General features: G+C 38.1%; 1 pseudogene across 1 annotated transcript in view; it reads right to left on the reverse strand.

Moving 5' to 3' along the window:
* The window catches only part of CCNYL2 (cyclin Y like 2 (pseudogene)), a 64,067-nt pseudogene that overhangs the window by 21,798 nt on the left and 19,143 nt on the right, over nucleotides 1–23,126 (reverse strand). Inside the window, exons 3-4 of the transcript NR_103829.1 lie at nucleotides 21,638–21,712; nucleotides 3,283–3,383 (exon numbers count right to left, since the gene is read on the reverse strand). The product of NR_103829.1 is annotated as a cyclin Y like 2 (pseudogene) (transcript). The remainder of the gene's footprint in view (nucleotides 1–3,282; nucleotides 3,384–21,637; nucleotides 21,713–23,126) is intronic.

Consider the following 23,126-nt stretch of genomic DNA (forward strand, 5'->3'; position numbering starts at 1 on the left):
AGTAAATATACGCACACAGGAAATCAATGATAGGTGCAGTGATCCCAAAATATGCAGTGCTGACAAGGCAGTATACCATGACACAGTGTAATATGAATGGCAGGTACCTTCAATTAGTTTAACTGAAATATTTATGAACAGATACACCTCTTCAGATACATGTAACTATATTCCTAAGTTACTCACAGATGCTGTGTATCACAAAACAAGAGGTTCTCTTACATAAGTTATGTGCTTCCATTTGCTCTCAGCATCTAGAATGAGACTCAAAATAACTGAGGGAAGGAAAATCCCTCGGTTAATAATAGGTCTATACAATATTAGCACTTTTTAAAAAGCTTATAACATTAGCATTTAAGATGGATATGTCTATAGTGCTTCAAGTAGTTTTCACTTCTAAAATCATTTTAAAATCACAGAATTTGAAGTTACATGCTGGAAAGGACCAATGACCTTACATGACATTTAATCCAACACTCATTTTACAGATCAGGGAAACAAACCTTAAAACTGACTTGCCCAAGGTCCCACCAAATAGGAGCAGCTTCTCATCCTAAACTCAAATTAAGCAGTGCTCTCAAACTTTGCTGTACATTAAAATCAACTGAGGAGCTTTAATAACTGCCTCATTTTCAACATGAGACTTTTTAGTTTAATTAGTTAGCATTGGGTAGGACTTCAGGCATTAGGGTTGTTGTTAAAAATTTTCCTGGTGACTTCAAAGTGCAGCAAAGTTTGGAGTGATTGAGTTGGGGTGAAAATCAGAATCTTCTGGGATGCTTTTCTTCACAAGAAGATGCCTCACATCGATTCCTATTTTCCTAAAGGGCTTCTCAGTGCCTAGAGACAGAGGGAAGGTTGAGGTGGGAAGATACAAATGTTTGCAGACATGTATTTTGAAAAAAAAAACCTTGCAAAAGTGATCCCAATGAGTTCCATCTACCCCATTGACAACAGTGTACTACTAACCCATAATAAACATTTTTCAAAATCTTTTCTTGAAGCCAATTTGCCCTATTAATTTGCTCAATAAACCTTTATTTCACTAATAGTGAATATACCAAATGATAATTTCTCAAACTTGTTGATGGGAAATTAAAACTTACTTTACTTTCAAAAGTAGACTTCTAAAAATTAGAATAATGAGGAAAAAAGCGTGAAATTTGTTTGAGCAAGATTAATGTTTAAAACTACTTTTAAATTGTATGCTAACACATCAAAACTTTTGAATTCAAAAGAAGCCAGGGATACAAACCAGAGTGATTTTTTCTTTTTTTGCTCAAGGATTTAGAGGCTTGGCTGAATACAGACATGTAGTGATTATGCAATAGGTCCCAAAGCGCAGGACTTGAGACAGGGTTTGAATCCAGTTTTCACTGAAACACAATTTCATCTCTACTACTGTGATAAGGGAGAGAGGAAGTGACATTATTATGAGCGTAAACTTGCCTCTTTGTTGTTGTAATTATTAGTTTTAGAAACGGAGTTTCACTCTCGTTGCCCAGGCTAGAGTGCAATGGTGCGATCTCGGCTCACTGCAACCTCTGCCTCCTGGGTTCAAGCCATTCTCCTGCCTCAGCCTCCCAAGTAGCTGGAATTACAGGTGCCTGCCATCACGCCCAGCTAATTTTTGTATTCTTAGTAGAGACAGGGTTTTGCCGTGTTAGCCAGGCTGGTCTCGAACTCCTGATCTCAGGTGTTTGGCCTGCCTTGGCCTCCCGAAGTGTTGGGATTACAAGCATGAGCCACCATGCCTGGCCGCCATGTTTTTTTTAAATTATACTTTAAGTTCTGGGATACATGTGCAGAACGTGAAGGTTTGTTACATATGTATACATGTGCCATGCTGGTGCGCTGCACCCATCAACCCGGTATTTCTCCTAATGCTATCCTTCCCCTTGCCTCCGATTCCCCACAGGCCCTGGTGTTTGATATTCCCCTTCCTGTGTCCATGTGCTCTCATTGTTCAACACCCACTTATGAGTGAGAACATGTGGTGTTTGATTTTCTGTTCCCGTGTTAGTTTGCTGAGAATGATGGTTTCCAGCTTCATCCATGTCCCTACAAAGGACATGAACTCATTTTTCTTATGGCTGCATAGTATTCCATTGTGTATATGTGGCACATTTTCTTTATTCAGTCTATCATTGATGGGCATTTGGGTTGGTTCCAAGTCTTTGCTATTGTAAATAGTGCAGCAAAAAACATACATGTACATGCGTCTTTATAGCAGAATGACTTAAAATCCTTTGGGTATATATATACTCAGTAATGAGATTGCTGGGTCAAATGGTGTTTCTGGTTCTAGATCCTTGAGGAATCACCACACTGTCTCCACAATGGTTGAACTAATTTACACTCCCACCAGCAGTGTAAAAGCATTTCTATTTCTCCACATCCTCTCCAGCATCTGTTGTTTCCTGACTTTTTAATGCTCACCATTCTTACTGGCATGAGATGGTATCTCATCGTGGTTTTGATTTGCATTTCTCTAATGATCAGTGATAATGAGCTTTTTTTCATATATTTGTTGGCCGCATAAATGTCTTCTTTTGAGAAGTGTCTGTTCATATCCTTCACCCACTTTTTGATGGGTTTGTTTTTTTCTTGTAAATTTGTTTAAGTTCCTTGTAGACTCTGGATACTAGGCCTTCATCAGAAGACATTAATATTCTAAATTAGCACTTTCCAAACTGTGTTCTAAAAATCAATACTCATAATCCAAGGAAGTGATAATGATGTACACTGGACAAACCCAATGGAGCTTGTGGTGGTGTTGGTTGTTGTTCCTTTTAAAATAAACTTCATCTCAGGGTGCTCTCAAAGAGCATCTTTGTGGCCCATGAGGTTCTCATGCACAATGGGAGAAAATCAAATGCAGATACACTGTGGTGCCAGTAGAGAAAAAGCTGTTCCTTCTTCCAAGACTAATGTCCAAAGAAGTACGCATTGATTTAGGCCTGCAATGCACTGAAAAACTAATATTTCACAAAAATCATTCAATAAAGGGAACCTATCCTTCTCATTGAGTTCAGCATTGTCTTAAGGCATAAAGGCATCAAACAAATAGCTGCACTTTTTCTGGGATTGCTTATTTGCTGATTTTTCCTTCCACCATGATGTCTAAGATTAAAAGAGAAACTGATACTTAATATTTAAAATCTGGATATCAATATATAGTTGACTCCAATTTCTTAAAATGATTGCTGAAGAGGACAACCAAATGGCTGAAATAATTTTTGAATGAAGGAGTCTATCCCTTGGCATTATAGTTGTACTCACGATTTTAGTGTCATTGTAAGATGAGGCTGGCTGGCTATGCTGTCATCAAGGAATATTGTCGAACATGAACTGTATTGTTGAGTAAAATGCTCAGTAGATACCTGAAGGGGAAGGGAAGTATAAGATAAACTTATCAAAGTATACTTTTTCATTGGTTAAAATGTCAAATTTTTCAAAGCACTAGGATATTTCTTACACTCCATGAATGCCTGAGTGTGGTATCATGAGCACTCTATAGAAAACCCATCAGAGGCTCTTAACTTCCACAGAGGATGTTTGAGATACAGGTTATAAAATGCTGCCCTTAATGTGGTGCCTATCATCAAAACTAACAAGGATTTTATGAATTCCCTTTGTAAAAAATGAAAAAAGTTTAAAATAATATTTCATTTTTTTATAGTGACATAAAACAGCTGAGGATTTCTATTTCTGTTATTTATTTACTACAGTAAAATGTAATGTATTGAATAATATTGGTATAAGACCATTTTACTGCAATGAATACAAGACTAAGACTAACACATTTACTAAGTTACTAATCCTAAATGTATTATTTCAGGCGATATTGTGACAAAACAAGTGTTTCAGATTCAGAGGCTCGTGTACCAGGGCTGCTAGGCCACCAACAAGTGAGGAAGACATAGGTTTCTCTAGTCCTGTTTTCTTATGTGGAGGATAAAAAGAGTATCACCTAAGTATTCTCTCACACCCTGAAAACAGATGACAACTTAAAAAATTTAACTTTCACTTCATGTTTAAATAAGACTGCCATGACATGACTCAAATGAGACCCTCAGAGAATACTTTCCGTTCATTTCAAAATTTGATTAATTTTATTCTATACATCATTTGACCTGCACCTAGGCATTTTCCTGCTCTACCCCTGTTCTCTGTCTGGAATAATGCTTTTCTCCTTCCTTGTTTCAACAAGCTTGACTCCATCTACCCTCTTGGATCTCTTTGCCAGTAGCCTCAGCCTCACATGTTTTGTTTTTTTGTACACTAACCGATTACAAGATACTAATTCTAGCAGAGTATTCCCCTCATGAGAAAGTACGCCTCTCCATAAGAGTAAGGGAGAGCCCTAACTGTTCCTACCTCTAGCTGCTCAGCATAAAATTTTGAATAAATCAAAAAGTTCAAGTGTTTGACAAATTAATTCAGTTATAATTTGGAAGGTAAGTCTTACTACATTTAATTACAGCAAAAACACTACTAACGGTTTACTGTTTATAGGTATTATTTAAGGTAGTCACAAAATAGAAACAAATCTAACTTCAGTCAGCATAAATCACAGAGTATGAAATTTTACAATGTTTAACAAGAAATGGAAGGGTTTACTTAGTGGTTTTAAGGTTTTATGACAAAAACTAGAAAATAATCATACCTCATATTTTAGTAAATCAAAACCAAAGGCTTTACCATCAAAGGTCCAGTACCTGTTGGACACCGATGCCCAACCACTGACTTCTTCCGCTGTACCTGCTGCCTCTCATTTTAACCCATTAAAAACACTAAAACTGTTTTCCTTGTAGAGGTCTTTCCCCTCCTTGCTTAGTTAGATTCTTAAGCTGGTTTTTTGTTTGTTTGTTTTGCAGCTGTTGTAAAGGGGTTGAGTTCTTGGTTTGATTCTCAGCTTGGTCGCTGTTGGGGTATAACAGCTACTGATTTGTGTACATTAATTTTATATCCTGAAACTTTTCTGAATTCATTTATCAGTTCTAGGAGTTTTACTGGAGGAGTCTTTGGGGTTTTCAAGGTATACGATCATATCATCAGCAAACAGCAACAGTTTGACTTCCTAGTTACTGATCTGGATGCCCTTTCTTTCTTTCTCTTGAGTGATTGCTCTGGCTGGCTAGGTCTTCCAGTACTATATTGAATTGGAGTGGTGAGAGTGGGCATCCTTGCCTTGTTCCTGTTCTCAGGGGGAATGCTTTCAACTTTTGCCATTCAATATTATGTTGGCTGTGGGTTTGAAATGGATGGCTTTTATTATATTGAGGTATGTCCCTTGTATGCTAATTTTGCTGAGGGTTTTAATCACAAAAGGATGCTGGATTTTGTCAAATGCTTTTTCTGCATCTATTGAGATGATCATGTGATTTTTGTTTTGAATTCTGTTCCTGGGGAGGAGCCAAGATGGCCAAAAAGGAACAGCTCCAGTCTACAGCTCCCAGCGTGAGCGACGCAGAAGATGGGTGATTTCTGCATTTCCATCTGAGGTACCGGGTTCATCTCACTAGGGAGTGCCAGACAGTGGGCGCAGGTCAGTGGGTGCATGCACCATGCACGAGCCGAAGCAGGGCGAGGCATTGCCTCACTTGGGAAGTGCAAGGGGTCAGGGAGTTCCCTTTCTGAGTCAAAGAAAGGGGTGACGGACGGCACCTGGAAAATCGGGTCACTCCCACCCGAATACTGCGCTTTTCCGACAGGCTTAAAAAACAGCGCACCACGATATTATATCCCGCACCTGGCTTGGAGGGTCCTACGCCCACGGAGTCTCACTGATTGCTAGCACAGCGGTCTGAGATCAAACTGCAAGGCGGCAGCGAGGCTGGGGGAGGGGCGCCCGCCATTGCCCAGGCTTCCTTAGGTAAACAAAGCAGCCGCGAAGCTCGAACTGGGTGGAGCCCACCACAGCTCAAGGAGGCCGGCCTGCCTCTGTAGGCTCCACCTCTGGGGGCAGGGCACAAACAAACAAAAAGACAGCAGTAACCTCTGCAGACTTAAATGTCCCCGTCTGACAGCTTTGAAGAGAGCAGTGGTTCTCCCACCACGCAGCTGGAGATCTGAGAACAGGCAGACTGCCTCCTCAAGTGGGTCCCTGAACCCTGACCCCCGGGCAGACTAACTGGGAGGCACCCCCCAGCAGGGGCACACTGACACCTCACACGGCAGGGTATTCCAACAGACCTGCAGCTGAGGGTCCTGTCTGTTAGAAGGAAAACTAACAAACAGAAAGGACATCCACACCAAAAACCCATCTGTACATCACCATCATCAAAGAACAAAAGTAGATAAAACCACAAAGATGGGGAAAAAAACAGAAGAGAAAAACTGGAAACTCTAAAAAGTAGAGCGCCTCTCCTCCTCCAAAGGAACGCAGTTGCTCACCAGCAACGGAACAAAGCTGGATGGAGAATGACTTTGACGAGCTGAGAGAAGAAGGCTTCACACAATCAAATTACTCTGATCTACGGGAGGACATTCAAACCAAAGGCAAAGAAGTTGAAAACTTCGAAAAAAATTTAGAAGAATGTATAACTAGAATAACCAATACAGAGAAGTGCTTAAAGGAGCTGATGGAGCTGAAAACCAAGGCTCGAGAACTACGTGAAGAATGCAGAAGCCTCAGGAGCCGATGCGATCAACTGGAAGAAAGGGTATCAGCAATGGAAGATGAAATGAATGAAATGAAGCGAGAAGGGAAGTTTAGAGAAAAAAGAATAAAAAGAAATGAGCAAAGCCTCCAAGAAATATGGGACTATGTGAAAAGACCAAATCTACGTCTGACTGGTGTACCTGAAAGTGATGGGGAGAATGGAACCAAGTTGGAAAACACTCTGCAGGATATTATCCAGGAGAACTTCCCCAATCTAGCAAGGCAGGCCAACGTTCAGATTCAGGAAATACAGAGAACGCCACAAAGATACTCCTCGAGAAGAGCAACTCCAAGACACATAATTGTCAGATTCACCAAAGTTGAAATGAAGGCAAAAATGTTAAGGGCAGCCAGAGAGAAAGGTCAGGTTACCCTCAAAGGGAAGCCCATCAGACTAACAGCGGATCTCTCGGCAGAAACCCTACAAGCCAGAAGAGAGTGGGGGCCAATATTCAACATTCTTAAAGAAAAGAATTTTCAACCCAGAATTTCATATCCAGCCAAACTAAGCTTCATAAGTGAAGGAGAAATAAAATCCTTTACAGACAAGCAAATGCTCAGAGATTTTGTCACCACCAGGCCTGCCCTACAAGAGCTCCTGAAGGAAGCACTAAACATGGAAAGGAACAACCGGTACCAGCCACTGCAAAATCATGCCAAAATGTAACGACCATCGAGACTAGGAAGAAACTGCATCAACTAACGAGGAAAATAACCAGCTAACATCATAATGACAGGATCAAAATCACACATAACAATATTAACTTTAAATGTAAATTGACTAAATGCTCCAATTAAAAGACACAGACTGGCAAATTGGATGAAGAGTCAAGACCCATCAGTGTGCTGTGTTCAGGAAACCCATCTCACGTGCAGAGACACACATACGCTCAAAATAAAAGGATGGAGGAAGATCTACCAAGCCAATGGAAAACAAAAAAAGGCAGGGGTTGCAATCCTAGTCTCTGATAAAACAGACTTTAAACCAACAAAGATCAAAAGAGACACAGAAGGCCATTACATAATGGTAAAGGGATCAATTCAACAAGAAGAGCTAACTATCCTAAATATATATGCACCCAATACAGGAGCACCAAGATTCATAAAGCAAGTCCTGAATGACCTACAAAGAGACTTAGACTCCCACACATTAATAATGGGAGACTTTAACACCCCACTGTCAACATTAGACAGATCAACGAGACAGAAAGTCAACAAGGATACCCAGGAATTGAACTCAGCTCTGCACCAAGCAGACCTAATAGACATCTACAGAACTCTCCACCTCAAATCAACAGAATATACATTTTTTTCAGCACCACACCACACCTATTCCAAAATTAACCACATACTGGGAAGTAAAGCTCTCCTCAGCAAATGTAAAAGAACAGAAATTATAACAAACTATCTCTCAGACCACAGTGCAATCAAACTAGAACTCAGGATTAAGAATCTCACTCAAAACCGCTCAACTACATGGAAACTGAACAACCTGCTCCTGAATGACTACTGGGTACATATCGAAATGAAGGCAGAAATAAAGATGTTCTTTGAAACCAACGAGAACAAAGACACCACACACCAGAATCTCTGGACACATTCAAAGCAGTGTGTAGAGGGAAATTTATAGCACTACATGCCCACAAGAGAAAGCAGGAAAGATCCAAAATTGACACCCTAACATCACAATTAAAAGAACTAGGAAAGCAAGAGCAAACACATTCAAAAGCTAGCAGAAGGCAAGAAATAACTAAAATCAGAGCAGAACTGAAGGAAATAGAGACACAAAAAACCCTTCAAAAAATTAATGAATCCAGGAACTGGTTTTTTGAAAGGATCAACAAAATTGATAGACCACTAGCAAGACTAATAAAGAAAAAAAGAGAGAAGAATCAAATAGATGCAATAAAAAATGATAAAGGGGATATCACCACCGATCCCACAGAAATACAAACTACCATCAGAAAATACTACAAACACCTCTACACAAATAAACTAGAAAATCTAGAAGAAATGGATAAATTCCTGGACACATACACTCTCCCAAGACTAAACCAGGAAGAAGTTGAATCTCTGAATAGACCAATAACAGGAGCTGAAATTGTGGCAATAATCAATAGCTTACCAACCAAAAAGAGTCCAGGACCAGATGGATTCACAGCCGAATTCTAACAGAGGTACAAGGAGGAACTGGTACCATTCCTTCTGAAACTATTCCAATCAATAGCAAAAGAGGGAATCCTCCCTAACTCCTTTTATGAGGCCAGCATCATCCTGATAACAAAGCCAGTCAGAGACACAACCAAAAAAGAGAATTTTAGACCAATATCCTTGATGAACATTGATGCAAAAATCCTCAATAAAATACTGGCAAACCGAATCCAGCAGCACATCAAAAAGCTTATCCACCATGATCAAGTGGGCTTCATCCCTGGGATGCAAGGCTGGTTCAATATACGCAAATCAATAAATGTAATCCAGCATATAAACAGAACCAAAGACAAAAACCACATGATTATCTCAATAGATGCAGAAAAGGCCTTTGACAAAATCCAACAACGCTTCATGCTCAAAACTCTCAATAAATTAGGTATTGATGGGATGTATTTCAAAATAATAAGAGCTATCTATGACAAACCCACAGCCAATATCATACTGAATGGGCAAAAACTGGAAGCATTCCCTTTGAAAACTGGCACAAGACAGGGATGCCCTCTCTCATCACTCCTATTCAACATAGTGTTGGAAGTTCTGGCCAGGGCAATTAGGCAGGAGAAGGAAATAAAGGGTATTCAATTAGGAAAACAGGAAGCCAAATTGTCCCTGTTTGCAGACAACATGATTGTATATCTAGAAAACCCCATTGTCTCAGCCCAAATCTCCTTAAGCTGATAAGCAACTTCAGCAAAGTCTCAGGATACAAAATCAATGTACAAAAATCACAAGCATTCTTATACACCAACAACAGACAAACAGAGAGCCAAATCATGAGTGAACTCCCATTCACAATTGCTTCAAAGAGAATAAAACACCTAGGAATCCAACTTACAAGGGATGTGAAGGACCTCTTCAAGGAGAACTACAAACCACTGCTCAAGGAAATAAAAGAGGATACAAACAAATGGAAGAACATTCCATGCTCATGGGTAGGAAGAATCAATATCATGAAAATGGCCATACTGCCCAAGGTAATTTACAGATTCAATGCCATCCCCAGCAAGCTACCAATGACTTTCTTCACAGAATTGGAAAAAACTACTTTAAAGTTCATATGGAACCAAAAAAGAGCCCGCATCGCCAAGTCAATCCTAAGCCAAAAGAACAAAGCCAGAGGCACCACACTACCTGACTTCAAACTATACTACAAGGCTACAGTAACCAAAACAGCATGGTACTGGTACCAAAACAGAGATACAGATCAATGGAACAGAACAGAGCCCTCAGAAATAATGCCGCATATCTACAACTATCTGATCTTTGACAAACCTGAGAAAAACAAGCAATGGGGAAAGGATTCCCTATTTAATAAATGGTGCTGGGAAAACTGGCTAGCCATATGTAGAAAGCTGAAACTGGATCCCTTCCTTACACCTTATACAAAAATCAATTCAAGATGGATTAAAGACTTAAACGTTAGACCTAAAACCATAAAAACCCTAGAAGAAAACCTAGGCATTACCATTCAGGACATGGGCATGGGCAAGGACTTCATGTCTAAAACACCAAAAGCAATGGCAACAAAAGACAAAATTGACAAATGGGATCTAATTAAACTCAAGAGCTTCTGCACAGCAAAAGAAACTACCATCAGAGTGAACAGGCAACCTACAAAATGGGAGAAAATTTTCGCAACCTACTCATCTGACAAAGGGCTAATATCCAGAATCTACAATGAACTCAAACAAATTTACAAGAAAAAAACAAACAACCCTATCAAAAAGTGGGCAAATGACATGAACAGACACTTCTCAAAAGAAGACACTTATGCAGCCAAAAAACACATGAAAAAATGCTCATCATCACTGGCCATCAGAGAAATGCAAATCAAAACCACAATGAGATACCATCTCACACCAGTTAGAATGGCAATCATTAAAAAGTCAGGAAACAACAGGTGCTGGAGAGGATGTGGAGAAATAGGAACACTTTTACACTGTTGGTGGGACTGTAAACTAGTTCAACCGTTGTGGAAGTCAGTGTGGCGATTCCTCAGGGATCTAGAACTGGAAATACCATTTGACCCAGCCATCCCATTACTGGGTATATATCCAAAGGACTATAAATCATGCTGCTATAAAGACACATGCACACGTATGTTTATTGCAGCATTATTCACAATAGCAAAGACTTGGAACCAACCCAAATGTCCAACAATGATAGACTGGATTAAGAAAATGTGGCACATATACACCATGGAATACTATGCAGCCATAAAAAATGATGAGTTCATGTCCTTTGTAGGGACATGGATGAAATTGGAAATCATCATTCTCAGTAAACTATCGCAAGAACAAATAACCAAACACCGCATATTCTCACTCATAGGTGGGAATTGAACAATGAGATCACATGGACACAGAAAGGGGAATATCACACTCTGGGGACTGTTGTGGGGTGGGGGTAGGGGGGAGGGATAGCATTGGGAGATATACCTAATGCTAGATGACAAGTTAGTGGGTGCAGCGCACCAGCATGGCACATGTATACATATGTAACAAACCTGCACGTTGTGCACATGTACCCTAAAACTTAAAGTATAATTAAAAAAAAAAAAGAATTCTGTTTCTGTGATGTATCACATTTATTGACTTGCATATGTTAAACAATCCCTGCATCCCTGGTATGAAACCCACTTGATCATGGTGGATTATCTTTTTGATATGCCACTGGGAACTACAAAACATTACTGAATGAAATTATGGATGACACAAACAAATGGAAAGATATTCCATGCTCATGAATGGGTAGAATCAATATTGTGAAAATGACCATACTGCCAAAAGCAATCTACAAATTCAATGCAATTCCTATCAAAATACCATCATCATTTTTCACAGAACTAGAAAAAACAATTCTAAAATATGGTACCAAACAAGACCCCACATAGCCAAAACAAAACTAAGCAAAAACAACAAAACTGGAGCCATCACATTATCTGACTTCAAACTATACAGTGAGGCCATTGTCACCAAAACAGCATGGTACTGGTATAAAAATAGGCACATACACCAATGGAACAGAATAGAAAACCCAGAAATAAACCCAAATACCTACAGCCAGCTTATCTTCAACAAAGCCAACTAAAACATAAAGTGAAGAAGGTAAACCCTATTCAACAAATGGTGCCAGGATAATTGGCAAAGCCACGTGCAGGAGAATGAAACTGGATCCTCAACTCTCACCTTATACAAAAATCAACTCAAGATGGATCAAGGACATAAATCTACAACCTGAAACCATAAAAATTGTAGAAGATAATATCAGAAAAATCTTCTAGACATTGGCTTAGGCAAAGACTTCATAACCAAGAACCCAAAAGCAAATGCAATGAAAACAAGATAAACAGGTGAGACTTAACTAAAGAGCTTCTGCACAGGAAAAGGAACAATCAGCAGAGTAAACAGACAACCCACAAAATGGAAGAAAATCTTCAAAATCTATACATCTGATAAAGGACTAATATACAGAATCTACAAGGAACTCAAACAAATGGGCAAGAGAAAAAACAAACAATCCCATCAAAAAGTGGGCTAAGGAGATAAATACACAATTCTCAAAAGAAGATATACCACTGGGCAACAAACATATGAAAAAATGCTCAGCATCACTAATGATCAGGAAAATGAAAATCAAAACCACATGCCATACCACCTTACTCCTGCAAGAATGGCCATAATCAAAAAATCAAAAAATAATAGATGTTGGTGTGGAAAAGGTGAAAACACTTCTCTACAATGCTGGTAAAAATGGAAACTAGTACAACCACTATGGAAAGCAGTGTGGAGATTCCTTAGAAAACTAAAAGTAGGCCCACCATTCAATCCAGCAAGCCCAGTACTGGGTATCTACCCAGAGGAAAAGAAATCATTATACAAAAAAGATACTTGCACATGTATGTTCGCAGCAGCACAATTTGTAATTATAAAAATATGGAATCAGCCCAAATGCCCATCAATCAACAAATGGATTAAGAAATACCATTCAGCCATAATAAGGAATAAATTAATGGCATTCCCAGCAACCTAGATGGAATTGGAGACTATTATTCCAAGTGAAGTAACTCAGGAATGGAAAACTAAAGATCTTATGTTTTCATTCATATGGGGGAGCTAAGCTATAAGGATGCAAATACATAGAATGATACAATGGACTTTGGGGACACAAGGAAAAGGGTGGGACGGGGGTGAGGGATAAAAAACTACAAATTGGGTTCACTGGATACTGCTCAAGTGACAGGTACACCAAAATCTCACAAATCATCACAAAGAATTTACTCATGTAACCAAATACCACCTGTTTCCCCCAAAACCTATGGAAATAAAAATATATAAATAAATAAACTACGGCATTCCTCTCAGCAAATATAAAATAAAATGAAAACTCAAGTTTACGTTTTCCTCTCTCCTTTTTAGCAGGACAAATTTTAGAAATGTTTTTAAATAATAACTTTTTTCTCTTTCTGAGACTGGGTCTCCCTTTGTTGCCTAGGCTGGAGTGCAGTGTGCAATTATAGTTAACTGCAGCCTCAAACTCCTGAGCTCAAGCGATCCTCTGCCTCAGCCTCCTGAGTAGGTAAAACTAAAGGCACATGCTACCAAGCCTGGCTAATTTGTTATTTAACTTTTTTTTAAAATTTTATTATTATTATACTTTAAGTTTTAGGGTACATGTTTTTGTAGAGATGAGCTCTTGCTATGTTGACCAGGCTAAAAATAAACAAATTTTAATTAACTTAAATATTTCTAACACTTTGGGCATTCATGAAAACAGCTCCATCTATGTTGTGAGGTATTGGGATAATATGGCAGTGAAAGTTTGAATAAAAATATTAAATAAGGCCTTAGGAGAAAAGTATAATATGCTTATTATAGATACATCACTAAAAAAATTGTCTGGGTTAATACCATTAATTATATTGAAATTAAACTTTGATTCACATGTAAATATAGGTCCCAAATTTGGATTAAGTATAATAGATTGGCCACAGATTTATTTCCTCTGCCTCTGGAAGTCTCGTTAGTCATACATAAAATACAGGTTACACACAGGATCAAGAGAGAACGTTGACAGAGATGATTTTTAATAAATGCTGGGTCATAAAAAGTAGATAAAGGAGTGGTAAATAACACAGAAGCACAACTTTGGTCCCTACAGAAAGCGACTGGAAGAGAAGCAAGCCAGTTTGTCTTGTAGAACTAAAGGCAGGCTGTGAATTTACAGGCAAATGGAACTTTGGAAAGTAGGGTAAAACATAAAACAAAAGCCAGCAAGGTCAGAAAATCTGTGGTTAGAACTCCAAGGCCACCTGTCGACCCATCTGATAAGAAACTTAGATGTGTGTTCTCTGGATATACCAAACCTGAGAATTTCTAGGTTCAGAAATACCACGGCGTAAAACTGAGATATAAAGAAAACTGTACACCAAAAATAGAACTCCAACTTGCTTCCCTAATTCTGCTTTTGGAAAGCAAGTAGCCATTCTTTTACTTCCCAGGAAGAAAATTGGGAGATCCTTTCTCAGAAGAAACTGAACTGGCTCGAATAAAGATCCCCAGATAATACACTGAAGTCCCACAAATGAAAAGCTAGTTTGGCTTCCAAAACCTCACACTGAGTGCCACCAGTTAACAGAAGTCCAGCTTCCAAATAAAGCCAGGGACCACCACACATTGGAGGGAAGCCTCCAACAAGAGACATCAAAACAACAGAAAAAAGGGATTCATGGGACCAGTCAAAATCAGGAGCAAAACTTACAAAAAAAATCTGAAAACACTCTGAAAAAGATATAAAATTCAATAGAAATGTTAGAGTAAAAAGTCACAGAAACTGAAAAATCGAAGGGGAAAAATTAAAAACCACTGCAGGTATACTGGTCTAAGCAGCTGAGTGTCTGAATAACAAGACTATCAGAAAAAAAAGAACAGAGAAAATAAAAAAATTCTCAAGAAGAGATAGTCTTCAGACTTAGTAGCCTCAATAAAATGAAAAGATTCCCACCAAGCTGTTATGAAATTTCAGAATCTCAGTGAGAAAGAAGCTGCTAAAAAGCTTCCACAGAGACATAAAACCTGGTTACAAATAATGTATCTCACAATGGCAACAGAGTCAAGAACAACACTGTAATGATTGCACAATTGCAAAATATCTTCAGAACCATAAAGTTTAGATTCAACCTAGAAGTTTGCTCTGTATCAAAAAGAAGGGATTTTAAGACTGGCCAGATCCCTAAACATCTCTGCCCAGGAAAATGTGCTCAAGTACAACTAGTGAGGATAACAGGACAGAAGGAAACAGAATCTAGGACTCAGGTGATCCCACACAAGATGGCAGTTATGTGAGATCCCAAAAGACTTCAAGGAGCTAGCACAGAAAAGCAGACATTGAGCATATCTAGGGAAAGCCACTCTGTATTGAACTAGGATGACAAAATGCCAAAGAAAGTTACCCCCCACCCCTGGCAAAAAAAAAAAAAAAAAGGAATATATGTGTTTTAGCAGATGGAAAGTATATTTGAAAGGCATGTGATAAATGCAGCAACACTTGGGGGGAAAACAGCTGTTAGAAAACAGGCAAATGAATATAGTCAGAAAATTAGCTTCAGGCTAAAAAAAAAAAAATGGATGTGAAAGCAAACAGACCAGCCAGGGGCTACTTACTGCATTTGGCTGGGTAAAGTAACATAGGCTAGGGAAAAAGAGATGATCCAGAAAAAGTACAGAAATGCTCAGATTTCAGAACTGTTTCAGAGAAAGAATGAAGGACATATAATGCAGAGGCACAGTGAAAACATCATATGACTTAGCAGTGAATAGAATTTGCATAGTGATAATCATGTAAATATTAGTGATTTAATTAAAAAGTGTGCTACAATTGGAAGAAACAGAGGGAGAAAAATAAGGTCATGGTGTAGTGAGGAAGGTATGCTTTCACCCGCTATGACAAAGTCAATAGACAGTGCTGATAGCTATTCTATTTTTGTTATTTGTTACTCTGTATTTGTTACTCTGTATTTGTTATTTTGTTATTTGTTAATTCTTAGCTATTCTATTTTTGTTATTTGATTAAGAATATGATTAAATATTTAAGGCAGATCTTTGTACCACAACCAGAGTATTGAAATTTAACTTAAATGTCAGAAATTCTTAAAATTTCTAAGCTGAAGACTTCTCTGAATAAATTTTATACTTAGGAAAATACAAAAAGAGGTCCGTGCTATCACCACAGGGTCCCCACTATAATTTCAAGGAATCAAGAGAGACATATTTTTATATCAAACTATCAATTTCTTAACCTTTTGACTGTTTACGTACATGCTTTGCATAGTTGCTTTTTCTTTTTTTCTTGTACTAAGAATGAAAAAGAAAATGGTCACTTCTGATAAAAATACCATAAAATAAGAGTAGTAGTTAATGTCTTACTAATTACTCCTAAATGAGGAAAAATTCCATTTAAAAAAATTACTTTCAACAATTTATATTTAAATTATCTGGCATGATAAATCTCATAGAGTAAAATCTAATAACTTAGTTTTACTTTTTGACCTAGTTTACTTTTTGTTTCTGTTACACACAAATGAAAGAATCCTTGTGCACAAAAGAAAAGGGCAAAAAAAAAATGGGGACAGATGAAAAAGTTAGCTAATAAAAAATTTAACTGTTGCATATATGAGCCATGAGTATTTTCTCATTCTGCATTTACACATAGCTTACTTTATTTGCCAGAATCTGAGAGTTAACAGCTCTAAGAACTACTTTCTGGCCAGGCACCTATCTCTGGATGCACCAGAATCCCTGTAAGCATCTCGAACCACACTTAGTGATCATCTACTAATATGTCACTAAAAACAAAACAACTGGAAAGTAACTTATCTTAAATTTAAATTTTAAAATGACTATACAAACCTGATTGGACATGGTGTCCGCAGCACAAAAAATCATTTTTTTCTAAAAAAAAAAAAGGCCAGCATAATAAAAGCTCCAAGAGGACTTGGGCCATGCTTTGTTTCCTACACCGCCTCCACCTTTGATGCTGGAAGGGCCTTGCAGGCAAACATTCCTACCACTGAAGAGTGAGGGACATGAAATAGCTTTTGTTTTTACCTCTTCTATGCTCTCTATGTGTGAGAAGCCCATAGCTCTGGAAGGAACTGGGAAAAACAACTCTGACATGGCTTGGATATTTTCCCCCCTCCAAATCTCATGTTAAAATATGACCCTTAATGTTGGAGAAAGGGCATAGTGGGAGGTGTTTAGGTAATGGTGGTGGATTCCTTATGAATGGCTTGGTGCCATCCCCATGGTAAGAAGCAAATTCTCATTCTGGTAGTTTAAGAGAGAAAGGGAAGTAAAGCTCTCCTCAGCAAATGTAAAAGAACAGAAATTATAACAAACTATCTCTCAGACCACAGTGCAATCAAACCAGAACTTAGGATTAAGAATCTCACTCAAAACCGCTCAACTACATGGAAACTGAACAACCTGCTCCTGAATGACTACTGGGTACATAACGAAATGAAGGCAGAAATAAAGATGTTCTTTGAAACCAACGAGAACAAAGACACAACATACCAGAATCTCTGGGACGCATTCAAAGCAGTGTGTAGAGGGAAATTTATAGCACTACATGCCCACAAGAGAAAGCAGGAAAGATCCAAAATTGACACCCTAACATCACAATTAAAAGAACTAGGAAAGCAAGAGCAAACACATTCAAAAGCTAGCAGAAGGCAAGAAATAACTAAAATCAGAGCAGAACTGAAGGAAATAGAGACATAAAAAACCCTTCAAAAAATTAATGAATCCAGGAACTGGTTTTTTGAAAGGATCAACAAAATTGATAGACCACTAGCAAGACTAATAAAGAAAAAAAGAGAGAAGAATCAAATATATGCAATAAAAAATGATAAAGGGGATATGACCACCGATCCCACAGAAATACAAACTACCATCAAAGAATACTACAAACACCTCTACGCAAATAATCTAGAAAATCTAGAAGAAATGGATAAATTCCTAGACACATACACTTTCCCAAGACTAAACCAGGAAGAAGTTGAATCTCTGAATAGACCAATAACAGGAGCTGAAATTGTGGCAATAATCAATAGCTTACCAACCAAAAAGAGTCCAGGACCAGATGGATTCACAGCCGAATTCTAACAGAGGTACAAGGAAGAACTGGTACCATTCCTTCTGAAACTATTCCAATCAATAGCAAAAGAGGGAATCCTCCCTAACTCCTTTTATGAGGCCAGCATCATCCTGATAACAAAGCCGGGCAGAGACACAACCAAAAAAGAGAATTTTAGACCAATATCCTTGATGAACATTGATGCAAAAATCCTCAATAAAATACTGGCAAACCGAATCCAGCAGCACATCAAAAAGCTTATCCACCATGATCAAGTGGGCTTCATCCCTGGGATGCAAGGCTGGTTCAATATATGCAAATCAATAAATGTAATCCAGCATATAAACAGAACCAAAGACAAAAACCACATGATTATCTCAATAGATGCAGAAAAGGCCTTTGACAAAATCCAACAACGCTTCATGCTAAAAACTCTCAATAAATTAGGTATTGATGGGATGTATTTCAAAATAATAAGAGCTATCTATGACAAACCCACAGCCAATATCATACTGAATGGGCAAAAACTGGAAGCATTCCCTTTGAAAACTGGCACAAGACAGGGATGCCCTCTCTCACCACTCCTATTCAACATAGTGTTGGAAGTTCTGGCCAGGGCAATTAGGCAGGAGAAGGAAATAAAGGGTATTCAATTAGGAAAAGAGGAAGTCAAATTGTCCCTGCTTGCAGACGACATGATTGTATATCTAGAAAACCCCATTGTCTCAGCCCAAAATCTCCTTAAGCTGATAAGCAACTTCAGCAAAGTCTCAGGATACAAAACCAATGTACAAAAATCACAAGCATTCTTATACACCAACAACAGACAAACAGAGAGCCAAATCATGAGTGAACTCCCATTCACAATTGCTTCAAAGAGAATAAAATACCTAGGAATCCAACTTACAAGGGATGTGAAGGACCTCTTCAAGGAGAACTACAAACCACTGCTCAGTGAAATAAAACAGGATACAAATGGAAGAACATTCCATGCTCACGGGTAGGAAGAATCAATATCATGAAAATGGCCATACTGCCCAAGGTAATTTACAGATTCAATGCCATCCCCATCAAGCTACCAATGACTTTCTTCACAGAATTGGAAAAAACTACTTTAAAGTTCATATGGAACCAAAAAAGAGCCCACATCGCCAAGTCAACCCTAAGCCAAAAGAACAAAGCTGGAGGCATCACACTACCTGACTTCAAACTATACTGCAAGGCTACAGTAAACAAAACAGCATGGTACTGGTACCAAAACAGAGATATAGATCAATGGAACAGAACAGAGCCCTCAGAAATAATGCCGCATATCTACAACTATCTGATCTTTGACAAACCTGAGAAAAACAAGCAATGGGGAAAGGATTCCCTATTTAATAAATGGTGCTGGGAAAACTGGCTAGCCATACGTAGAAAGCTGAAACTGGATCCCTTCCTTACACCTTATACAAAAATCAATTCAAGATGGATTAAAGACTTAAACGTTAGACTTAAAACCATAAAAACCCTAGAAGAAAACCTAGGCATTATCATTCAGGACATAGGCATGGGCAAGGACTTCATGTCTAAAACACCAAAAGCAATGGCAACAAAAGCCAAAATTGACAAATGGGATCTAATTAAACTCAAGAGCTTCTGCACAGCAAAAGAAACTACCATCAGAGTGAACAGGCAACCTGCAAAATGGGAGAAAATTTTCACAACCTACTCATCTGACAAAGGGCTAATATCCAGAATCTACACAGAACTCAAACAAATTTACAAGAAAAAAACAACCCCATCAAAAAGTGGGTGAAGGATATGAATAGACACTTATCAAAAGAAGTGCCAAAAGACACATGCAGCCAAAAGACACATGAAAAAATGCTCATCATCACTGGCCATCAGAGAAATGCAAATCAAAACCACAATGAGATACCATCTCACACCAGTTAGAATGGCAATCATTAAAAAGTCAGGAAACAACAGGTGCTGGAGAGGATGTGGAGAAATAGGAACACTTTTACACTGTTGGTGGGACTGTAAACTAGTTCAACTATTGTGGAAGTCAGTGTGGTGATTCCTCAGGGATCTAGAACTAGAAATACCATTTGACCCAGCCATCCCATTACTGGGTATATACCCAAAGGATTATAAATCATGCTGCTATAAAGACACATGCACACGTATGTTTATTGCGGCATTATTCACAATAGCAAAGACTTGGAACCAACCCAAATGTCCAACAATGATAGACTGAATTAAGAAAATGTGGCACATATACACCATGGAATACTATGCAGCCATAAAAAATGATGAGTTCATGTCCTTTGTAGGGACATGGATGAAATTGGAAATCATCATTCTCAGTAAACTATCACAAGGACAAAAAACCAAACACCGCATATTCTCACTCATAGGTGGGAATTGAACAATGAGAACACATGGACACAGGAAGGGGAACATCACACTCTGGGGACTGTTGTGGGGTGGGGGGAGGGGGGAGGGATAGCATTAGGAGATATACCTAATGCTAGATGACGAGTTAGTGGGTGCAGCGCACCAGCATGGCACATGTATACATATGTAACTAACTTGCACATTGTGCACATGTACCCTAAAACTTAAAGTATAATAATAATAAATAAAAAATTAAAAAAAAAAAGAGAGTGTGACACCTTCCCTCTACCTGCCTCTCCCTCCCTTCTCACTGTGTGGAACCACCTGCTTCCCCTTTGCCTTCCATCATGATTGTAAGCTTGCTGAGGCTCTCACCAGAAGCAGATGCTGAAGCCATGCTTGTACAGCCTGAAGATCTATGAGCCAATTAAACCTCTTTTTGTTATAAATTACCCAGCCTTAGGTACCTCTTTATAGTAACACAAAAATGAACACAAATTCTAACCAGAAATAACTTACTCAAGACAGGCAAAGTCTACTCAAAACTACAAAAAAAAAGTTATAAACTCCCATATTTACTGCACTGCATTACTTCCCATATTAATATAGATCCTCACTTGTATTCTTGTTGCTTAAATCAACTGGAAAACTTGGCTGTGTATGGCTTTTTAGCAAACAAACAAGGATTTAACATAACATTAAGGAAAATAAGCAGAAGTAGGGCATGTTTAAATTTACATCAGATGACAAGGTTAATGACTTAAAAGTTCCGAGAAGTATAAACTTGGATGTGATAAATGCATGTGATCAGAGGACTGTGCAAGAGGAGGCCAAAATCACAGATTCAATCTCTGTTGATGAACAACAGTTTTTTTTTTTTTATTTGTTTAAATGGAAACCAAGCTGAAGCCTAAGTTCTATCTTTAAAATGCACCCTTAGGAGCAAGGAAAAAGGGGCAAAGAATTATAAATAAAGATAAATCTATGACTCCTCCATCACATGACAAATTGTGTTGATAAAAAGATGGCAAAATGTATAAATAAAAAATTTACATGATTTCACTAACACAGTAACAACTAAAAAAAGTATATCACATATTAAAATAAGACAAGCGAATATGTGAAAAGTTCAAAAAATTAAACCAATATGAGTTTTTCTAAATACTTTCTATAATACATCTGATCAAACAACAAGAGTTTTCGATCTTTTTCTTGGCAGAAAAAACAATGTTGTCTCACCATCTGTTTGAGATTTTCTCAGGAATATTGTGCTTGCCTTTGGATGGTCAGAAGGGTTGGGCTCCAAAGGTATATCTATAGAGGGAGAGAAGAAAAAAAGATGTGATCATTTATAAAAATTTATCAACTCATTTATTTGACTGCTGCATTTAGGCTATTTCACTACCTCTACTTTTATCCTTATCCGTTGAAATGAATGTATAGACATAAGATAGAGCCAGGCAAGATGGCACAGGCCTGTAGTCCCAGCTCCTCAGGAGGCGGAGATGGGAAAATCACTTGAGCCCAGGTCAGGAATTTGAGGCCAGCATGAGTAACATGGTGAGAACCTCCTTCATTTAAAAAAAAAAAAAAAAAGGTAAATTTGCCTTTAAGTTGTGTAAAATCAACTGCATAGAATAAAACAAGATGGCAATATGTTTTAAAAGACAGGTCTATTTTATAGGCAAAATATAAGATGTAATCTGGAGTTTTTAAAATTTTAAAAAAGTAAATTCAGCATATCTATCTCTTCCATGTCATTCTGAGGACACAGAACCTTAGTTCTGTTGAGTAGCTGCCTTCCATAGTTACATGAGATCTCTAAGTCCTCATTTCTTCATTAGCAAAATGTAGGGAGAACACATATAGGCCTTTATTTGTATTGCAAAGAGCCAAATGAGACATACATAAACTGTGCTGTAATCCTAAAGAATGACAATAAAGAGCCTTTTTTGGGCTCTCATCCAACACTACCCGTCTATTAACTGGTGTGTAAAATCACTCAGAGGCTTTCCTTACACCACCAAGTGGAGTATGTTTACACAAGTACTTACATGCTTTGTGTATAAAAGTATAATGAATTAATTCACATATTTGTTTAAATTCTTTAATATCTTGAAAAGCGAGTATAGTACTCCAAGTTACAAAGTCACACATCATGAGTCTTAATTATTCTACCTCTGAAAAAAATAAAAGCCCAACCAAAGTTGTTATTTTTTTGTTTTTTTTTTGTTTTTCACTTTAAGTTCTGGGATACATGTGCAGAACATGCAGGTTTGTTACATAAGTATACATGTCCCATGGTGGTTTGCTGCAACTATTAACCCATAATCAAGGTTTTAAGCCTCACATGCATGAGGCATTTGTCCTAATGCTCTCCCTCCCTTTGCCCCCCACCCCCGATGGGCCCCAGTGTGTGATGTTCCTTTCCTTGTGTCCATGTGTTCTCATTGTTCTTTTTGTTTAGGATTGTCTTGGCTACACGAAGCCCAATCAAAGTTTAAATAGAAGAGCTATAAGACATTTCCTCTACAGTAATAAATCTCTGGCATTTAAATGAAACCAAAGAGCCAGTGGATTTAATATCTTTATGATACAATGTTTTCTATTTGTAAAAATTTAGTTTTTATTCAAGAACCATATTGTTACTCAGAATTCTTTTTACTTAGATTCACCTCTTTGCAAAAGTTTAGAGGCAAACCAACTAAGTGTTTTCTCTTTTCTACCC

Source organism: Homo sapiens, chromosome 10, assembly GCF_000001405.40.
Source record: "Homo sapiens chromosome 10, GRCh38.p14 Primary Assembly".
In the NCBI taxonomy this organism is placed as follows: domain Eukaryota; kingdom Metazoa; phylum Chordata; class Mammalia; order Primates; family Hominidae; genus Homo; species Homo sapiens.